This window comes from Homo sapiens, chromosome 12 (genome assembly GCF_000001405.40).
Source record: "Homo sapiens chromosome 12, GRCh38.p14 Primary Assembly".
NCBI classification, from domain to species: domain Eukaryota; kingdom Metazoa; phylum Chordata; class Mammalia; order Primates; family Hominidae; genus Homo; species Homo sapiens.
The window spans coordinates 131631609-131649853 of record NC_000012.12 but is presented as its reverse complement, the minus strand read 5'-3'; the positions used below and the strand labels follow the sequence as shown (position 1 = coordinate 131649853).

At 53.8% G+C, this 18245-nt stretch overlaps 1 long non-coding RNA gene across 1 annotated transcript, besides 4 other annotated features; it reads left to right on the top strand.

Annotated features, from left to right (window-relative positions):
- The first annotated feature begins 1732 nt into the window (after window positions 1-1732).
- LINC02414 (long intergenic non-protein coding RNA 2414) lies at window positions 1733-3936 on the top strand. The gene is made up of 2 exons (NR_146868.1): window positions 1733-1809; window positions 2325-3936. It is a non-coding gene; the product is annotated as a long intergenic non-protein coding RNA 2414 (long non-coding RNA).
- Window positions 2646-3636: an enhancer, noted in NCBI's record as "H3K4me1 hESC enhancer chr12:132130763-132131753 (GRCh37/hg19 assembly coordinates)". NCBI's record gives its function as "activates a minimal SCP1, AML or CMV promoter by ChIP-STARR-seq in primed H9 embryonic stem cells {active_cell/tissue: H9 hESC(primed)}" and the evidence as "EXISTENCE:reporter gene assay evidence [ECO:0000049][PMID:30033119]".
- Window positions 3637-4628: an enhancer, noted in NCBI's record as "H3K4me1 hESC enhancer chr12:132129771-132130762 (GRCh37/hg19 assembly coordinates)". NCBI's record gives its function as "activates a minimal SCP1, AML or CMV promoter by ChIP-STARR-seq in primed H9 embryonic stem cells {active_cell/tissue: H9 hESC(primed)}" and the evidence as "EXISTENCE:reporter gene assay evidence [ECO:0000049][PMID:30033119]".
- Window positions 4657-5233: an enhancer, noted in NCBI's record as "H3K4me1 hESC enhancer chr12:132129166-132129742 (GRCh37/hg19 assembly coordinates)". NCBI's record gives its function as "activates a minimal SCP1, AML or CMV promoter by ChIP-STARR-seq in primed H9 embryonic stem cells {active_cell/tissue: H9 hESC(primed)}" and the evidence as "EXISTENCE:reporter gene assay evidence [ECO:0000049][PMID:30033119]".
- Window positions 10879-11073: a silencer, noted in NCBI's record as "fragment chr12:132123326-132123520 (GRCh37/hg19 assembly coordinates)". NCBI's record gives its function as "represses an EF-1alpha promoter that drives an FKBP-Casp9 reporter gene in an ReSE screen in K562 erythroleukemia cells {active_cell/tissue: K562}" and the evidence as "EXISTENCE:reporter gene assay evidence [ECO:0000049][PMID:32094911]".

Sequence of the window (18245 nt, the reverse complement as noted above, 5' to 3'; positions counted from 1 at the left end):
CACAGACCCAGGCACCAGGGCGTCCACCAAAATAATGGTGAGGAGGAGGACAGAGAGGAGAGGGGAGGTGCAGTCACCAGGCTCCCCACTTTGGTGGAGCAGCAAAAATAATGGCGAGGAGGAGGACAGAGAGGAGAGGGCAGGTGCAGTCTCAAGGCTTCCGCTTTGGTGTAGCAGCAAGGGACACATTTCTCCCTAGTGTCTTAGAGGAGCATGAATTAAGAATGTATGATTTGAAAAAAAGTAAAAGTGGTTGGGCACGATGTCTCATGTCTGTCATCCCAGCACTTTGGGAGGCAGAGGCAGGTGGATCACCTGAGGTCAGGAGTTCAAGACCAGCCTGGCCAACATGGTGAAACTCTGCCTCTACTAAAAATACAAAAATTAGCCAGGCATGGTGGCACACGCCTGTAGTCCCAGTTAGTTGGGAGGCTGAGGCAGGAGAATCGCTTGAACCCAGGAGGTGGAGGTTGCAGTGAGCTGAGATTGTGCCACTGCACTCCAGCCTGGGTGACAGAGCGAGACTCCGTCTCAAAAAAAAAAAAAAAAAAAAAAAAAGTAATAAAAGTAAGACGTTTAAAAAGGGATTTCCAGGTTTCAGTTCACTGTCTCATTGCAGTTGAGCTGCTGGCCTCAAGAAAATTCCATGGTCTCTGGAGGACCTGGCTATGCAGACAGTGGTCGGTGGACATCCCAGTCATTTAATACCAACCACTTGGCCCAAGGGGAAGCAGTCACTTGTGGCCCTCCGGGGGGTCTTATCCCATGGGAGCAAGTGAGGAACATTGCCAACCTCTCCGTCACAAGTGAGTGGCCCATTGTGTGTAGATCACCAATAAGAACCCCCATGTGGTCCCCACAGGCCTGTGAATAGACAGAGGTAGCAGGATCAGGTCCCATCTTCTGGCAAGGGTCTTAGGATGAAACTATAGGTGTAGAAAGATGCTCCCAGTCTGAGCCAGATGCATGCCTTGGAAGGCCCAGCGGGGAAGCTGTGGTCATGGTCCCGCCTCTCCACATGCTGTCAGCAGTTATGCTTGTCAGATATGTTTGGTTCTCATCCTTCTGGGCACAAGGAAAAGACTGCACATCCTGGCTCCTTGTGGTTGGGTGGGGCCAGTGACAGGCTCTGACCAATGAGTGTTGAGTGGAAATGACACTACAATATCCATGTCAAAGCGACGAATTGTCCACGTGAGACTCCCTGGGACACCCCTTCCTTCAGGCACAGCAGCCAGCAGTGTTCACATGTCCTCCTGCCACGGGCGGAGCCTCCCTGCTGACATGTGGTGGCCGTGCAACATGCATGAGGAAGAAGCTTTTACACCGCTGAAGGCGGGTTTTTTTTTTTGGTCACTGAAGCAGAGCTTAGCCTATGCTGACTATTGCACCTCTAATTCTTCTCCTCTTTGGGGGACCCAAAACTCTAGCATTTCCTTGCACATAGTGGAAGTGCAATTAATGGATGGATGGGTGGATCATAGAATGGCCCAAAGCCCTCCAGAATCTCAGCAGTGGCCCAAGAGCTGGTCACTCACAAAGTACGGAGTTTCTTCTTTCCCCAGATCATGCTGCCTGTGTGGTGTTATTCTCACAACGGAGGCCAGTCTTGGGAAGGGCAAGTAAGCTGTAACCCAAATAGTGGGATGTTGTACAGAAGGAAGATGTCTCCCCTGATCAAAATTACCTTCTTTCCATCCAGCCAGGTTACCGGTTCCTCCAGGTGCAGAAACATGGGCCAGTGGCTGAGTCCCGGCTCCACGAGGAGATGTTGGGAGAAGGCAGCACACATTGAGGAGAAGCAAGGAGGTAGAGGCAACTTCTCAAACCTGTGTGTGTGTGTGTGTGTGCGTGCATGGGGGTGAGCATGGGGATGAGTGAACATGTGAGTGTGCATGTCTGTGAGCGTAAGAGTGTAAGTGTGCATGTGTGTTAGTGTGTGGGTGTGAGCATGTGTGAGAGTGAGTGTGCAGGGCAGTGAGTGTGTAGGTGTGCATGTGGGTGTGATTGCGAGTGTGCGTGCTGTGTTAGTGAATGTGAGTGTATATGTGTGAGGGTGCATGAATGTGAGTGTGAGTGTGTGTGGATGTATGTGAGTGTGCATGTGTGTGAGAGTATGCATGGCTGTGAGAGTGAGTGCATGTATGTGAGTGTGTGTGAGGATGTTTGAGTATGCATGTGTGCACAAGTGTGAGTGGGCATGAGTGTGTGTGTGTAAGTTAGTGAGTGTGTGCATATGTGCATGAATGTGAGTGGGCATTTCTGCCACTTCAAGCTGAAGCCGAGCCCTGACTGACACAGTTTTCTTATTTCTCCGGGAGCAGCACCACTCCTGATGGTCCCCTCCAGAGCCCCAGGAAACTCTTGTTAGCAATCTTAGATTAAATTCAGAGTTTCTGGATCACGACAGGAAGCTGTGTCCAGCACGAAGGTGTCCTGTGAACAGGCTCAATCACAAGCTCTGCAGAGACGGGAAGTGACAGAGGCCCCAGAAAGCCAGTTCCCGACAACGCCAATACTGCACGTTTATCAGCTGCGGCAAGAGCCGGCCAGAGGCGGTGGCAGCACCTCAATGCCCTTGCCTCGTCTTCAAGATTCTTCTGTTTGATGTTGCGTCCTCACTGTTCCTCTGCTGAGGAGCTGTAGTGTGGCTCACAACTACGCGATGACTCTCCAGATTCAAAGACCACATCTCACCCTCTCTAAAGCCCCAGGGGCCCAGCGCAGTGCCGAGTGCAGAAGGATTGATGAGCATTTGCTGAGCCGGGTGCTAATCCCATGGGCATTGTTTCCTCTGCCCTCAGTCTCCAGCCTGCAGACGCCTGAATGGATTCTGGAGAGGTGTGCGTTGGACTCTGAAGGTCCTCTGAGCCCATCCAGGATAAAGATGCTCTCTCCCAGGCGTCTGCTCAGCCGCCGGCTATCGGCAGGACATTGCGCACCAGGTATCTTCAAGCTGCTTCTGGCTGGATTTAGGGCATGATGGAAACATCAAAACAACTGTAGTTCTGCCACGGGGTCCCACATCTGCTTATCCTGGGACAGCCACGCAGTCCCCACCCAGGAAGCGGCAGCAGGTTTCAGCACCCTGGAGAGGGCCAGGCCCCTGTGGCTGGTCAAGCTCCTCAGTGTTAAGGGAGCAGCTCAGGAAGGCCCCGCCCAGGACGATGAGGGGACCAGGAATGAAGTCAGCAGGTGAGCGGGAGGAACTTGACTCAGAGCAGTGGGAGGGCAGGAAGCGTGCTGGGGAGGAACCCTTGAGGGGCCACCACCTGGGGAAGCGCCTGCTGTCCCAGGGACAAGGGAAGGCTCCTCCTTGATTCCCAGAAGGACAGAGTGGCTGCAGTCAAATCCATCCACAGGGCAGATTTTCCCCACGGCCCTGTCCCCTGACCCTAGTGGCCCTCCCACAGACATGCCCTGGCAGGGCCCAGGACACTGGCCCTCGATGGGCCCTGAGCCAGTGCCACCTGTGTGTGCACTGATGAAGGTCACGCACTTTATTGGAGGAAGGAGGAGCAGAAAGAGGAGAAGGAAACGTTAACTCCTAAATCACAAGGCAGAAAGGATTCCTGAAACAAATCAGCCAAATCTGCCTCCTAGGTGGTTCCAGACCTGCCCCCTCCCCTCCCCGTTTCTTAGGGCGCGGCAGTAACATTTACCCGGCTCCACTGCACATCCTCCTGACCCTGGCCCTGCGCTCTTGGCCTCTGCACATCTCATGGCTGGCACCTCCGTGCGCGCTCTCATTTCATGTTTCACCTTCAAATTGTCCTCTGTGAACACGTGTATGCATGCACATTTATTGATCTATTTGTTTATATTTGTTTGATGATTCAGTTGCAGTCTCTTTTCATTAGAAAGCTAGGCTTGTTCCAAGCATAATATGTGCTTGACTTCTTTTGAAAATGAAAGCACCTGAAACCTCCCACAGCTAATTAGCCTGCCAGGATTTGTTTAATGGCAGAGACAGAAAAATCCCCTCAATGCAGCCACGCAGCTCAGCAAGAGGGCGGAGGGAAAGATGCACCCCAGCCCCTTGACTCAGGTATTTAAGAGGAAAACACGTCCTTCCGGGATGGGCAGAGGGCGGTGGCCTGCAGGCCGGCATGGGTTGGCAGGAACGCCTGGGCTGACAGCTTTTCCTTCTGCCTTTCTGCTTCGCGTCTGTCTCCCCAGAGACAGCAAATATGCCCAGCACCACGGTGGGCACGGAGACTCAGCCCCAGCCCTGAGAAGCGGCCCCAGGTCCTGAGTTATTTAACAAGCAGAAGTGAGTAAATGATGTCCGAGGCTCCATCCCTCCCATCCCTGCTGATGGCTCATCAGTCACAGGCAGTTACAGGGAACGGGGGAAGCCACCATCAGGGAGGTCCATTTCCTGCAGGATAGATGATTCGAATTAATATTTCCACCTCCAATCCAAATCATGAAAACAAGACATTACATTTGATTACAGCCAATCAAAATAGCAGTCATCCTACCTTGGAGTGATCTCCTGCCTTATGTGGGCGAAGCCTCCAAGTCTTTCCATGTTATTTCCTCATTTGTGCCTAAAAAGTTCCTTCTAGGGAAGAAGGGCCCGTCATCATCCTGCCCACTGTGCAGATGGAGAACCCAAGACTCAGAGGTGCTTTCATGCACTTCCCAACCTCCCAGAGGCCTGGAGAGCAGGGGCCAGCTGTGCTTCTCCTCCCGTGCTCTGCTCCTGAGCCAGGAGTTTCCCCAGCCAGGCCCCTGCCCCAGGCCCAGGCTGGGCCATGATTTCTTCCTTAGCCTGCCTCGCTCTCATCCTCTGGCCTCCAAGAACAGGGCGCCTCCCTTCTTCCAGGCAGCCGAGCCCAAGCCTCTCGCTTCTACGCAGCCTTTCAGGAAGTCCCTGTGCTTCTGCCTTTAGAATAACCTTAGCGGCAGACGTGTCCCAGTGCTGCTTTCCTGAGATTCACCCTGGGATCCTCTTCCGCACCCATGGCCTCTCCTTGTGGTCTTGCAGGACACACCCCAGGCTGCTGCCTGCATCCAGGCCCTGCACTCCCCACACAACTGCCTGGGGTCCCTCCCCAGCCTGTGTCAGAGGATGTCACCCTCTGCTTGTACCCTGCAGGGGCTACACCTGCCCTTCAGAACCTGTGCCATCCCAATGGCAGCAGAGGAGGCCTTGGTCCTCCCCAAGGGCCTGTGCACTCCCCGGGGCCCCTGATCCCTGCAGGGGGTTGTGCCTGTGCCCTGTGACCAGTTCTGGTGCATGGGCTGTGAACTGTAGGGACAGGAGAGGGCCCAGGGAGCTCCCCATCCTCTCTCCCAGAGGCTGGTCTGGGTTCTGTCCCTGCACCACAACTTCCACACCCCTGCAGGCTTAAAACAGCCCCAGTTATGGTCTCACGATTCCTGTGGTGCGGCCTGGGCAGCCCTTTCCTCTCTCACACAAGAAACTCCAAGGAAGGAAGCAGAGAAGGAGCCCAGACCTCCTGTTCTGAGGTTGTCCCCAGACCATCCTGTCCTGCAGGCCTCCCGTGGTCAGGCAAACAAAGGGCACCCTAACAATAGACTCAGCAGGGCAGTCCCAGCAGGGGCATACCAGGCTTGCTGGCTGTCCCCAGTCCAAGGCCCCCTCTGTCTTCTTGAGCCCACCAGGGGGTGGTCCAGCCCCAGGAGGCCCTTCCTCTCTTCAGGGCCACAGTCACTGGGGACCCATCTGTGTTCATGGTGCTGCCTGTGCCTGCTCTGGTGTCTGATGGGGCTGAGACAAGCCCCACTGTGAGCTGAGTCCCAGAGAAGGCGGCAGGGAGGGGGTGGGGAGTGGAGGAGCACTAAGAATTCCATGCAAACGATATGCAAATGAGCAGCACATGCTCGGGTTTGGATCCTGTTTTCTTCCTGGCCTCATTCCTGCTGGACTGTGAACCTGCCCTACTTTCTGTCTCCCAGTTATAGACTTTTTGGGAAAAAACATTTTTAGCTACCAGCACTCTCCCAAGTCCAACAGAGCCAGAGCGAGGCTGTGAGACCCCACCCACCACCTGGGGATGGAGCTTCCCTCCCCACCATCTGCAGGCTGTGCCCCCAGCCCGCCCCCGAGTTCTTCTCTCCTCCATGCTCTGCCTGAGTCCCCTCCTCCAGGAAACCTTCTCTGACCAGTGCAGGCCACAGGGTCCTCATGGAGTTGTGGGGGTACAGCAGACAGGACACTGGGCAGGTGACCATGAGCTAGTGAGAGTGGGAAGGACTCATAAAACTCATTTGAGAGGAGAATTTGAGCTGTGCAAATTTGTATCCATCTATCCATCCACTCATCCATTCATTCATCCATCCATCCATCCACTCTTTCACCTATCCATTCATCTATCCATCCACCCATCCATCCATCCATTCATCCACTCTTTCATCTATCCATTCATCCACACACCAATCCATTCATCTATTCATTCTTCATTCATTCACTCATCCATCATTCATTCATTCATTTACCTATGTATTCATCCATTAATTCATCCTCCCACTTATCCATTTATTGATCAGTCATTTTGTTCATTCATCAATCCACTTCTCCATTCAACAAATAGGGGACAACTGAGACTGAGACCAAGACCAAGTCCTGTCCCTCATTGGGCTTGTTTGTGCTGCAGACAAAGAGTAACCAAAATAATCCACGTTAAAGCATTGGGTGGTGATAAGGGAAGAAAAATCAAGTAGGTGAAGGTCAGCGTGACATGGCAGGGGTGTGAGTGGGGCTCCTTCAGATGCGTGGTCAGCAGCAGAAGGTGTTCGAGCCACAGGGGCTGACTCCTGGGGACGGGGAACAGGTGGAGAGGTGGAGGCCTGGGATGAGCCTGGCAGGAAGAGGAATGCCCATCGAGGAGACTCAGGGGCGGGTGCCTCACGGGGACCGTGGCCAGGCTGGGGTCGGGCGCAGTGCAGCAACACCAGACTGAGGAGGACAACGCCCACACTGGAGACTCGCAGTTGCATCCGGACTTCGTGGGGCTGAAGTGGGTCCTTCTTCCTGCTCCGTCTCGGGGATATGAGGGGCACCCTGGCAGCAGGAGAGCTCCGTATACTAATAGCAGCCCCTATTTAAGAATTCTTGTAGCCAGGCACCCTCATCACCTCCTGTTTCTGAAATAGGCCTATCTTGTCCTCATTGATGTTAGTGACACAAACCCCACCGGAAGAACCTAAGCCCTGAAAGGGGATGAATGGGTGAATCTAGGGGAGGGGCAGAGCGACCTGATTTGAGGTCTGGGTGAACCCAGGGCTCAGGTCACTATCACCAAGGCCTGATCTACCCCGGCTCTGCTTCTTCCTCGTGGACTCCAGTATCCAGCAGGCTCTGTCCACTGGTCCCAGGGGCGCAACCTGTGCCACGCCCCCTCAGGTCACAGGCAGTGAGAAAGGCCAGAGCCTCTCAGCCTGTTTCCTTGCATCTGATTGGCTCTGATGGAGTCACACCCCTATGCCTGAGCCAATCACGTGCTCTGGGACAGCCGTGTGCTGATTGGCTGTGACTCAGTCATGTGATCTGTCCCTGGCCTGGGGATGTCCCCAAACCACGTGGACTGAGGCTGGGTGAAGGGTGATCCTCAGGGGGCTGTCCCAGGCACTGGGGGAATGGCTGCCGAGTGGTGTCCCTGGGAGAGCATCAATTTCCCTGCTTTACAGAGAAGGGAACCGTGCTCAGTGGTGAGGATAGCTCCGGGATCACACAGCACAGCTGTCAGGGTCAGCACTGGGAGTTGGACCTGCCTGGAAGGCCTGGGCTCTGATCGCTGGTTGAACTGTCCTTGGCCTGCCTCTGGCCCTGAGCCACAAGTCAGCTCTGGAGATGCCTGGGTGGCAAAGGCGCGCCCCCTAGACCCTCTCCATTTTACCCACAACCTGACAATGAGCCCAGCACAGGCAAGGACCCGCAGACAGTGCTATAAATCTACCCCTCCATGGTAAACTGCAAAGCAGCCATTAAGTCTTCAGGAAACACATACTGTATGGCAATTAAAATGATGTTCTCCCCCTCCGTTTCAGGGATGAGACATGTGAGGACCAGTGAGAAGTACTCATCTTTTACAATGAATGTCAACAGACTCTTACAAATGAATTCACCCCAGACTACACTGTCAGCTCCTGGGGACAGGTTTAAATCGCCTTCTGTGTCTGTAAGTATCAGCTTGTCCTGGAGTCGACCCCAGATCTGAGGAGCACAAATGCTAGCTTGGAAGCCTGAGGTCTCCGGGCTCCTGCACAGACAGCCGGACAGACAGACACAGCACATCCCTGGGCTCCTGTCCTTCTGCCCCCCACAGTCCTCTCTCAGGGTGGGTGTCTCGTTGCACAGGCAGAAGTGGGGCTTGCTCTTGGCTCCTCCAGGCACCTCTGTCTCCTGACCCACGGCCTGGGGCGGTGGGATAAGATAGGGAGGGGCCTGATGAGTGCAGCACCAGGAGAGACACTCAGCTGGACACACTGCTCCGTCCGTGCTGGGTCTTTAGACAGGTGTCCATTGTGATTGGCCCGTGCTCCATTCTGACTGAAAAATGCTCCAGCCTGATTGGACGGTGCTCCATTGTGATTGGCCCATGCTCCATCCTGATTAGATCATGATCCATTCTTTGTGGTTCCTGATCCATTCTCACTGAGGTATGCTCCATCCTGATTGGCAAATCTTTCATCTTGATTGGCCCCTGCTCCAGTCTGTGTGGTCTGTGGTCAATTCTGATTGGTCCATGCACCATTTAAGTCGGTGCCCTATTTTAATAGTTCAGTGCCCTGGGGAATATGTTCCCAGTTGGAACTTCCCACTGGTTTGGAAATAACTGGGAAATTCTCCCCACCCCATCACCTCTCTGCGGTTCATCCCTAAGATTCCTGCCCAGCATTCTGCACCCTTGAGCACATTCTAGCCCATTCCATTGTCTCTAAGGGAGAAAAGGCTCAGGGAAGGGTTGGAAGCAATTAGGAAAAGGGAACAAGTCTGGGTTTCTTTTAAATCCTGACGTTTTCAGCATTTGCAGATTCCCCAGGGCCAGATGCTTAGCCATCTGCATGGGGCACTTTCTCCTGGAAACGATTTCCTGCCTCCCAAATGGCACAATTCTTGACTGTGCCGAGGGCCATATCACTGCTTCAGGAACAGACGCTCGCTGCTGGCACCCAGAGAGGGAAGGCTGTCTGGTTCTGGAATCTCATTTTCCAATCCTATAATGATATGCAACTGTGTTCACACTACACTCTGCAGCTGAGAGGCCCCTCCCCAGCCTGAGCTCAACTCCCCTCAACCCTTCCCCAGCACAGAGCGACTCTCAGACTCGGGGTTCCCCTGTTCCCACCCCAAAATGTCTCCTCTGCAACCTGGTACAGTGCCAGATCCCAGGGGTGCACCTCCCATCCTCTAGGTAAGCATTGCCCCTCGGAAGCTCTTTTACAATTAAAACCTGCCAGGGAACTCAACCCCGCTCTCAAGGTCACCGAGTGCTCGCATCTGCTTTTTATGGTGCCCCAAGAACCTTTCCCTCCTATTCCACCAAGAGCACACTGGTTTCCCATGGAAATGACCCCCCCCCCAGTTCTCAGATCATGCGTCTGTCCCAGCTCTGGGATGGTTGTTGATGAGGCCTGGCCAATCAGAGCATCTTGATCAGGGCACCTGGTGCTGGATGGACACAACCCCCAGGCAGTGAAAGCCCGAGGGACCCACATCTGGGCTTTGACAGAGGACTGGGAGGATGGATCTCTTCATAAATGTCCCTGAGAGGAGGGGAGTGGGTTTGGCACTGCAGGTGGAGGGGTTGGCCCCACATGGCTGAGCTCAGCCAGGAGAGGAACCAGACAGGCAGCAGAGTCAGAGAGAAGGAGACAGAGAGACAGACACAGAGAGACAGAGAGGTCCTGGTGGCTTCTCCCGGGCCCATCCATCAAGCTGTACCTGCAGATACACAACCCTGGACCCTTCAGTTGGTTTGAGTTGGGTTTTTTGTCTCCTTCTAACAGAGTCCTAAATATGGAGAAGACATCAGAGCGGGAGGTGGAGAGGCTTTGACAAACCTCCAGTTTACAAGCAGCACCTCCAGACTGGAGACTGCTCCCCGTTTCCTCCCAGCACCCACCCACGGAAGCAGCTGGTGCCCATAGCAGGGACGGCTGAGGGATGTGTCCAGGACGCCCTCCCAGGAGGCTCGGTGTTTGGGCTCCTCAGCTCATCCATCAGCACAGACATCCTAGGTCCTCCCCACTGGAGGGACTGGGGTGGAGAAGGGACCACTTCACCCAAGGTCTGAATGAAAAGGCTTCCACAGGTGAGGTGAGGACGGCGGGGGTGAAGGTGAAAGCCTGGACATGACCCAGAAGGGTGGACGTTGGCCTTGACCAACTGGCAGAGCCCCAGGGGATGGAGTGAGATTGATGCCCCCGGGCCTGGCTGGCACAGAGCCAAGGAAAACACCTGCGTCAGAGCTTCCTTCCACCCACCCCCTATGCCCACCCCTTACCTAGCTGTGGAGTCCCCAGAGCTAGAGAGGACCCTCCCTTCCTGCCTACTCTCTAGCAGGGTAACCCCTGCCCAAGACTCGTTTTTACTTCACTGAGAAGTACTTGGCTGGTCCGTTTCCCCTTAGAACTGCAGAGGTCGATGCAGCGGCAGGGGTCACCAGCCCTGTCACCTGGGCAGGGCTTGCAGATAGTGCTTGATGGGTCAAGTCCAGTTCCCAGGTGGAGCTTTAGCCCATGGAATCCTTCAACATCAGAGCACACAGAACCCCCTTAAACCTAATCGATTTTTTTTTGCCAGTGTTCTGTGGTAGAGCTGGGTGTCGTTCACCTAATCTGCCTTCTGCAGATGGAAACTAGGGCAGCTCAATGTGACCCTGAATCTCACAGAGCCAGAGAGGATGTCCTGGAGTCTATTTCTTAGCTCACACAGGTGTATTTTCTGCCGGGTGGATTCCTAGAGGGAAGACGCAAGAGCTGAGCACCATCAATGTCCCCACGTGAGCCCAGGGGCTGGAGAGTCTGTTGCTGGTCATGCACCATGTTCCCCTCAGAGCCCCTCACCACCCTCATCTCTCTCCTCACCACCCTCATCTCTCTCCTCACCACCCTCATCTCTCTCCTCACCACCCTCATCTGTCCCCTCACCACCCTCATCTGTCTCCTCACCACCCTCATCTGTCCCCTCACCACTCTCATCTGTCCCCTCACCACCCTTATCTGTCCACTCACCACTCTCATCTGTCCACTCACCACCCTCATCTGTCTCCTCACCACCCTCATCTCTCTCCTCACCACCCTCATCTCTCTCCTCACCACCCTCATCTCTCTCCTCACCACCCTCATCTCTCTCCTCACCACCCTCATCTGTCCCCTCACCACTCTCATCTGTCCCCTCACCACCCTTATCTGTCCACTCACCACCTTCATCTGTCTCCTCACCACCCTCATCTGTCTCCTCACCACCCTCATCTCTCTCCTCACCACCCTCATCTCTCTCCTCACCACCCTCATCTCTCTCCTCACCACCCTCATCCGTCTCCTCACCACCCTCATCTCTCTTCTCACCACCCTCATCTGTCTCCTCACCACCCTTATCTGTCCACTCACCACTCTCATCTGTCTCCTCACCACCCTTATCTGTCCCCTCACCACTCTTATCTGTCTCCTCACCACCCTTATCTGTCTCCTCACCTTCTCATCCCCAGCCTGGCACCCACTGGGACCTCCAGCTCCTCCACACCCAATTCCCTTTCCCTTCCTCCGCCACTCCCACATTCTTACCTACCCCATGCTGCAAAAGAGACTCAATACATTGATGTGTCCAACTCACAAGATTCTCCCTCTGACTTTGCAACAGGGAGAACCTCTGCCCCAGGTTAGGGCCAGCGTCATCCTTTCAAACACTCTCTTGCATCTGGACTGACTGCCCCCAGTTTTGACAGTACCTCAGTGTGCAGCATCATCCCAGGCCCTGCTTCCCAGGCACCGCCCCATGGGGTGAGCAGCCTCCTGGTCTCTGACTCCCTCCTCCCTCTGACTGCCCCACCCCTGCCCACCCAGACCCATTCAGGAAAGCCAGGGGCTTGTGTTTGAAAATCATTTTCCTCCCACAGGGCCCTGAGCCTGAACCAGGCCTGGTCAGGGGGTCTCTACGCCGCCCCCCGGCCCCACAGCCCCGTACACGGGGAAGGCACACGCGGCTGGGCTCTGATGCAGCTCAGGACCCTGCTCCTCCTTGGAGCCAAGTGGCTGAGAAGAAGCTGCCTCCTGTGTGCCGGACCCTCCCATGGGGAGCACTTGCTGGGTGCCTCTGTGGCCCTGAGACACTGCTGCAGAATGGAGATAAAGTCACTGGCTGGCTGTCCCCGGGCCCACCCGCCTTCCCATGTGTCCACAAAGGATGGCCTCAGGCTGCCTGGGGCTGTGCTGGACGACCCCCATGTGGCCACCCAAGGGCATGTTGGGGTGAAACATATACCCAGGTTACTATCCTGGGCACTCTGGGGTCCTTCGGGGCCTGCTGTGTGGGCTACCCTGGCTGGCGGCCTCTCCTGAGTCTACAGTTGGGAGCTGGCACCAGCTCTAGACTCAGGCTGATCCCTCAGAGGATGACTGTGCAGCCCTCCCCACCCCTCCTGGCACTGGGTTGCCAGCCGCAGGTGGCCTGTGGCTCTGCTGCTCATCACGTGTCCAGCATGGGGTGGGATATGGTCTCCCCTCCTGCAGGGACCCTGATGTTCACACAGGATCCCCAGGAGCCCCTCACTGTGTTCAGCTGAGTCAGCACTCACTCCTACACGGCCTCCCCATCAGGCAAGCAACCCCCCCACCCATGCCCGCCCTCCCTGGTCCTGTCCAGGCCCAGAGGGGGTGATTGTTGCAGGGTGACTGTCTGTCTCCATCTCTTCTTAAGCCGTGTGTGTGTGTGTGTGTGTGCGTGTGTGTGTGTGTGTAGGGGGGGGTTACAATTATGGGAAAAGCCCCGCTGGACCTCCTGTTGCCAAGAGAAAGGTGCCTCTACCTTCAACTTTGTAGAACAGAGTGGGTGTCAGGAGGGTGGCAGCTGAGGCCATGGCCAGGTGCTCCTCAGTGAGTGGATTCCCCAGACAAAGTCTTCACCTCTCACCCTGCCAGCTCCTCCTCACACACCTATTCCTGTTATTTCAGTGAATGGCATCATCCTCCTCCCATCGATCTAGGTGCAGAGCCCTAGAAACAGGGCCCAAGAGGGCCTGGAAGAAATGAGAAGAGGACTCCATGTTCATGGTCAGCCCTTTCCTGCACTTACTACTCACCCACACCTCCAGCCCCTGCTCTCCTGTGGTCCCCTCCTGGGTCTCCCGCGGTCCCTTCCTTGGTCTCCCACGGTCCCTTCCTTGGTCTCCCGTGGTTCCCTCCTGGGTCTCCCGTGGTCCCTTCCTGGGTCTCCCGTGGTTCCCTCCTGCATCTCCTGTGGTCCCCTCCTGCGGGCGGAGTGGCAGCTCCTGGATATTCTCAGACTCACCTCTCAGGTCTGCACACCCTCCCAGCCCCCCTGGTGTTTCTTTCTCATCTGAGCAAATCCCTTTGGCATCAGAGAGAGGCCTGTGGACAGCCCACAGGAAGGCATCTAGGGCAGTGAAGCTCAAAGCACTTCCCTGGTGTGGGGGTGAAGGCTGATGTTTCCAGAGAAGACATGTTTCCACCACACTCTACATGGCTGCCTAGTTCTCTGTCCACACCAGCCTGGCTGTCAGGAAAGGCACATTTGCATGGAAGGGGCTCAGGGTGTGGAAGAAAGGCAGACTCAGGGTGGACTCAGACAGGAGCAGAACCACACGCATCACATGAAAAGCACCATCAGTGGACAGAAACCCTTAGTCAGACTTCACAGCATTAACAGCCCTAGCGTAAAAGAAATTGCTTGGCATGTCTCCTCCCATCTCTGCACATCATGTGTCAGGTGGCCACTCAGATGGCTAATTGACTCCCTTGAGGAGCAGAGGCTGGGTCCAGGCAGGAACAGTGGTTCTGGTGTGATAATGTGACAATTAAACAAAGTGGCATCTGATTAAGTGACCACATCGATTCTCTTAACATGGAAGGACAGTAGCTCTTAGACCAGGTGGCATAAATCTCACTTTCTTTTCCAGGCTCCCTCCAGTGGAAATGTCAAGGTAAGAAATAGGCCAGCGACAAACATGGACAGATACATCCTAGCCCTAATATACTCACCAAGCTCCCTCTAATGCTGGCCAGGTACTATGCATTCATCAATCTGTCCATATTCCAGCGTTTGATGAAGTCTCCAGGGAAATAGCTGGTGCTGTCAGGTGATGAGCAGATGCAACCAGAGATGGATGACGGGGTCATTAAGAAACAGAGGAGCAAATGGGCAGACAGAAAAATGGAGAATTGGTGAAAACGGGGATGGGTGTGCAATGGATGACTGGATAATTGCAGGACAAATGGTATAATTGGTTAAAATCCAGATGATTGGTTAAAACGGGGGGGATGGGTGTACAAATGGATGAGAAGGTAGATGGATGATGGATGGACAGATGGAAGGATGGATGGATGGATGGAAGGAAGAAGGATGTATAGTAACCTGAGTATATGTTCAGATAAGTGAATGGGGAGATGGATGGATGGATGGATGAATGGAAGGGAGACGAATGGATAGTAAGCTGGGTATATGTTCAGATAAATGGATGGGCAGATGGATGGATGGATGGATGGATGGATGGATGGATGGAAGGAAGAAGGATGTATAGTAACCTGAGTATATGTTCAGATAAGTGAATGGGGAGATGGATGGGTGGATGGATGGATGGATGGATGGATGGATGGAAGAGAGAGAAAGATACATAGCAACCTGGGTATATGTTCAGATAAGTGGATGGACAGATGGATGGATGGATGGACAGATGGAAGGATGCATGGATGGAAGAAAGAAGGATGTATAGCAACCTGGGTATATGTTCAGATAAGTGAATGCAGAGATGGATGGATGGATGGATGGAAGGAAGAGAGAAGAATGGATAGTACCCTTGGCATATGTTCAGATAAGTGGATGAACAGATGGACAGATGGATGGATGGATGGATGGATGCATGGAAGAGAGAAGAATGGATAGTAAGCTGGGTATATGTTCAGATAAGTGGATGGACAGACAGATGAACAGATGGATGGATGGTGGATGGGTTAGTGAGAAGGTAGGTGGCCATACACACAAATGACAACTTTGAGAGCACATGTTTGACTTAAATCTTAGGGTCATCACGTTCCCAGGAGACAAGCAGGTGGTGCGTTACTCCTCACCTTCTGTTCCCAGCAGCCCAAACTTCCTGTTTCCACCACTTTCCCTAATCAATTCAGACACTCAGGGAATGAGGGGGTCAAAATCTGAGTCAGCAGGAGGTCAGCCAACCTGGCCAGCGGTATGGATGCCCGAGGCAGCCCACTTGTGGGTGGTGACTTGAACCTACACAGGCCATGGGGTAGGAATTTGGGCAGTTACGTGGATAATTGGGATAAAAACAACTCCACTCAAGAACCCGGAGGACTCGGGCCTCATGGGCTCTGGTGGGACATGATCCTCAGTTCACTCCCCTCCCCATCCCTGTGCAGGTCCTGACCCAGGGAGCCCCTCCCATGCAGAGGGCAACGCTGAGCCGGCCCTGGGTACAGATAGGTCTAATCATCCCTGTCTTCCCCCCCAGGGGAACCACAGCCCATCTTTCCTCCAACACAAACCAACCACATCCCTGGATGGAACTCAGACAAACCACTTTCTATTGACTTCAATTTGCATTTTAAATAGGCTAAATGGCTCTGGAAAGAAAGCAGAAGTTCATTAGTGTTGTGAAATGCCATTTCCATCAACTCCTTGCATGGGAATCCTAATTACAGCTCCCTGGGGAGCAGTGGCAGGACCCAGGCCCACCGAGCCAGCAGCTGGAGCAGAAGTGAGCGGAGAGCAGCCTTGGCTTCCTGGGCCCTGGCTGGGAGAGCGGGGCTGCCTGGGAAAAGGAGCCCCCTCCTCCAACTCAGAGGCCCCTGGACCCTGACCTTGGCCGGCCAGCGGCCTGACCAGCAGCCGTGTCAGCAGCATTGCCCCGGGAGCAGGGGCTCTCAGTCCTGGTGCGCTCTGGAACCCAAGGAGCCTGAGACAATCTTGTGCCTGGAGACCCCCCCACCAAGAGATGCAGGTGGGTGTGGGAGTCAGCACAGACCCCAGGGGTAACTATGCCTGGAGACCCCCCCCAGAGATGCAGGTGGGCGTGGGAGTCAGCACAGACCCCAGGGGTAACTATGCCTGGAGATCACCCCAGAGATGCAGGTGGGCGTGGGAGTCAGCACAGACCCCAGGGGTAACTATGCCTGGAGACCCCCCCAAGAGATGCAGGTGGGTGTGGGAGTCAGCACAGACCCCAGGGGTAACTATGCCTGGAGACCACCCCCAGAGATGCAGGTGGGCGTGGGAATCAGCACAGACCCCAGGGGTAACTATGTGGGGCTGATTGGTGACCGCTTTCCCAGGCACCTTCTGCCTCCCCCACAGAGGCCCACACCTCCCCCCACAGACAGAACCCATCCCCACCCGTGCACTGAGCGCCAGGGAGACAAAGCCCCATCCACCCGCAGTGCATTCATTCATGGAGGAATAAATGTGTGTTGGCTGGAGAAGGCTTTTATATTACTCACTAAAATTTTCAACGCATCTATCCACAAAGACAACACATCAGGAAAGGATCATGTTTTCAACAGATGAGGCTGTAGCCATTGCAGGTCCGCAAGCAAAACAGTGAGCTCCACCTACACCTCCCGCCTCACACAAAAACTACCTCAGCATGTATCGGGGACCTACGTGTAAAACGTAAAATTATAAACATTTTAGAAGCAACATTGGAGAAAGCTTTGTGACTTTGGGTTAGGCAATGACAAAAGCACAATTCTTAAAAAAAAAATCTATAAACTTGACTTCATCAAAATTAAACCCTTTTGCTCTGCAGAAGACAGAGTTTAGAGAATGATCAGACCAGCCACCGGCTGGCAAGGAATATTTGCAATTCATATATCTGACCAAAGTCCTGTATCTGGAATATGTAAATAACTCTGAAAGCTCAACCGTAACAAAGCAAAGGACACAATATTTTTTAAATGAGGAAAAATGTACACAGACATTTTCCCAAATAAAATATACGAGTGACAGATAAGCCCATAAAACAATGGACAATGTCGAGAATTATTAAGAAAATGCAAATTAAAGTCATGATGAGGTCACAGCACACACCTATTGGGATGCGAAAATTAACAAAAAAAGGAAAGCAAAGAAAGAAGGAAATGACAGCAGGTGCTGCTGAGGCTGCCGAGCAAGCTGCGCTCACAGTGGACGGTGCAGCCACTTCATTATGGAAACAGGGTGGCTGCTGCTCCAGCTAAACACTCCACACACTCAGCATGTGAGTCCGCAGCCCCACCCCAGGGACCCACTCACGTGGAGTGAAAACCTACCTCCACACAAAAAAATGTAGGTTAAAGTTCCTAGTGGCTTTATTTGTAATTGCAAAAACCGGAAACAACGCAAACACCCCCATCAGTGAGCACAGAACGAGCCGCCATGCATAGGTGCAGTGGACGCCGCTCAGCAGGGAGACGGGCAGGGCAGGCCGTGGGTGCGCACAGCCGCCCGGGCGACTCTCCATGACCCGCGCTGAGGGCCGGGAGCCCACCCAGAAGGCTCCCACTGCGTGAGCCCATTTATGGGACGCTCTGGATGTCAGAGAAGAGGCCTGTGGTTTACAAGTGTTAGGGTGGAGGGGAGGGGTGAGTACAAGAGGAAGTGTGGAGGGATGTGTGGGTGATGGGGCTGTTCATCTGTCTGTCCATCCACTTATCTGAACATATACCCAGCTTACTATCCATTCTTCTTTCTTCCATGCATCCATCCATCCATCCATCCATCCATCTGTCCATCTGTTCATCCACTTATCTGAACATATGCCAAGGGTACTATCCATTCTTCTCTCTTTCATCCATCCATCCATCTCCCCATTCATTTATCTGAACATATACCCAGGTTGCTATACAGCCTTCTTTAATCCATCCATCCATCCATCCATCCATCCTTCCATCCATCCATCCATCCATCTGTCCATCTGTTCATCCACTTATCTGAACATATGCCAAGGGTACTATCCATTCTTCTCTCTTTCATCCATCCATCCATCTCCCCATTCATTTATCTGAACATATACCCAGGTTGCTATACAGCCGTCTTTCAT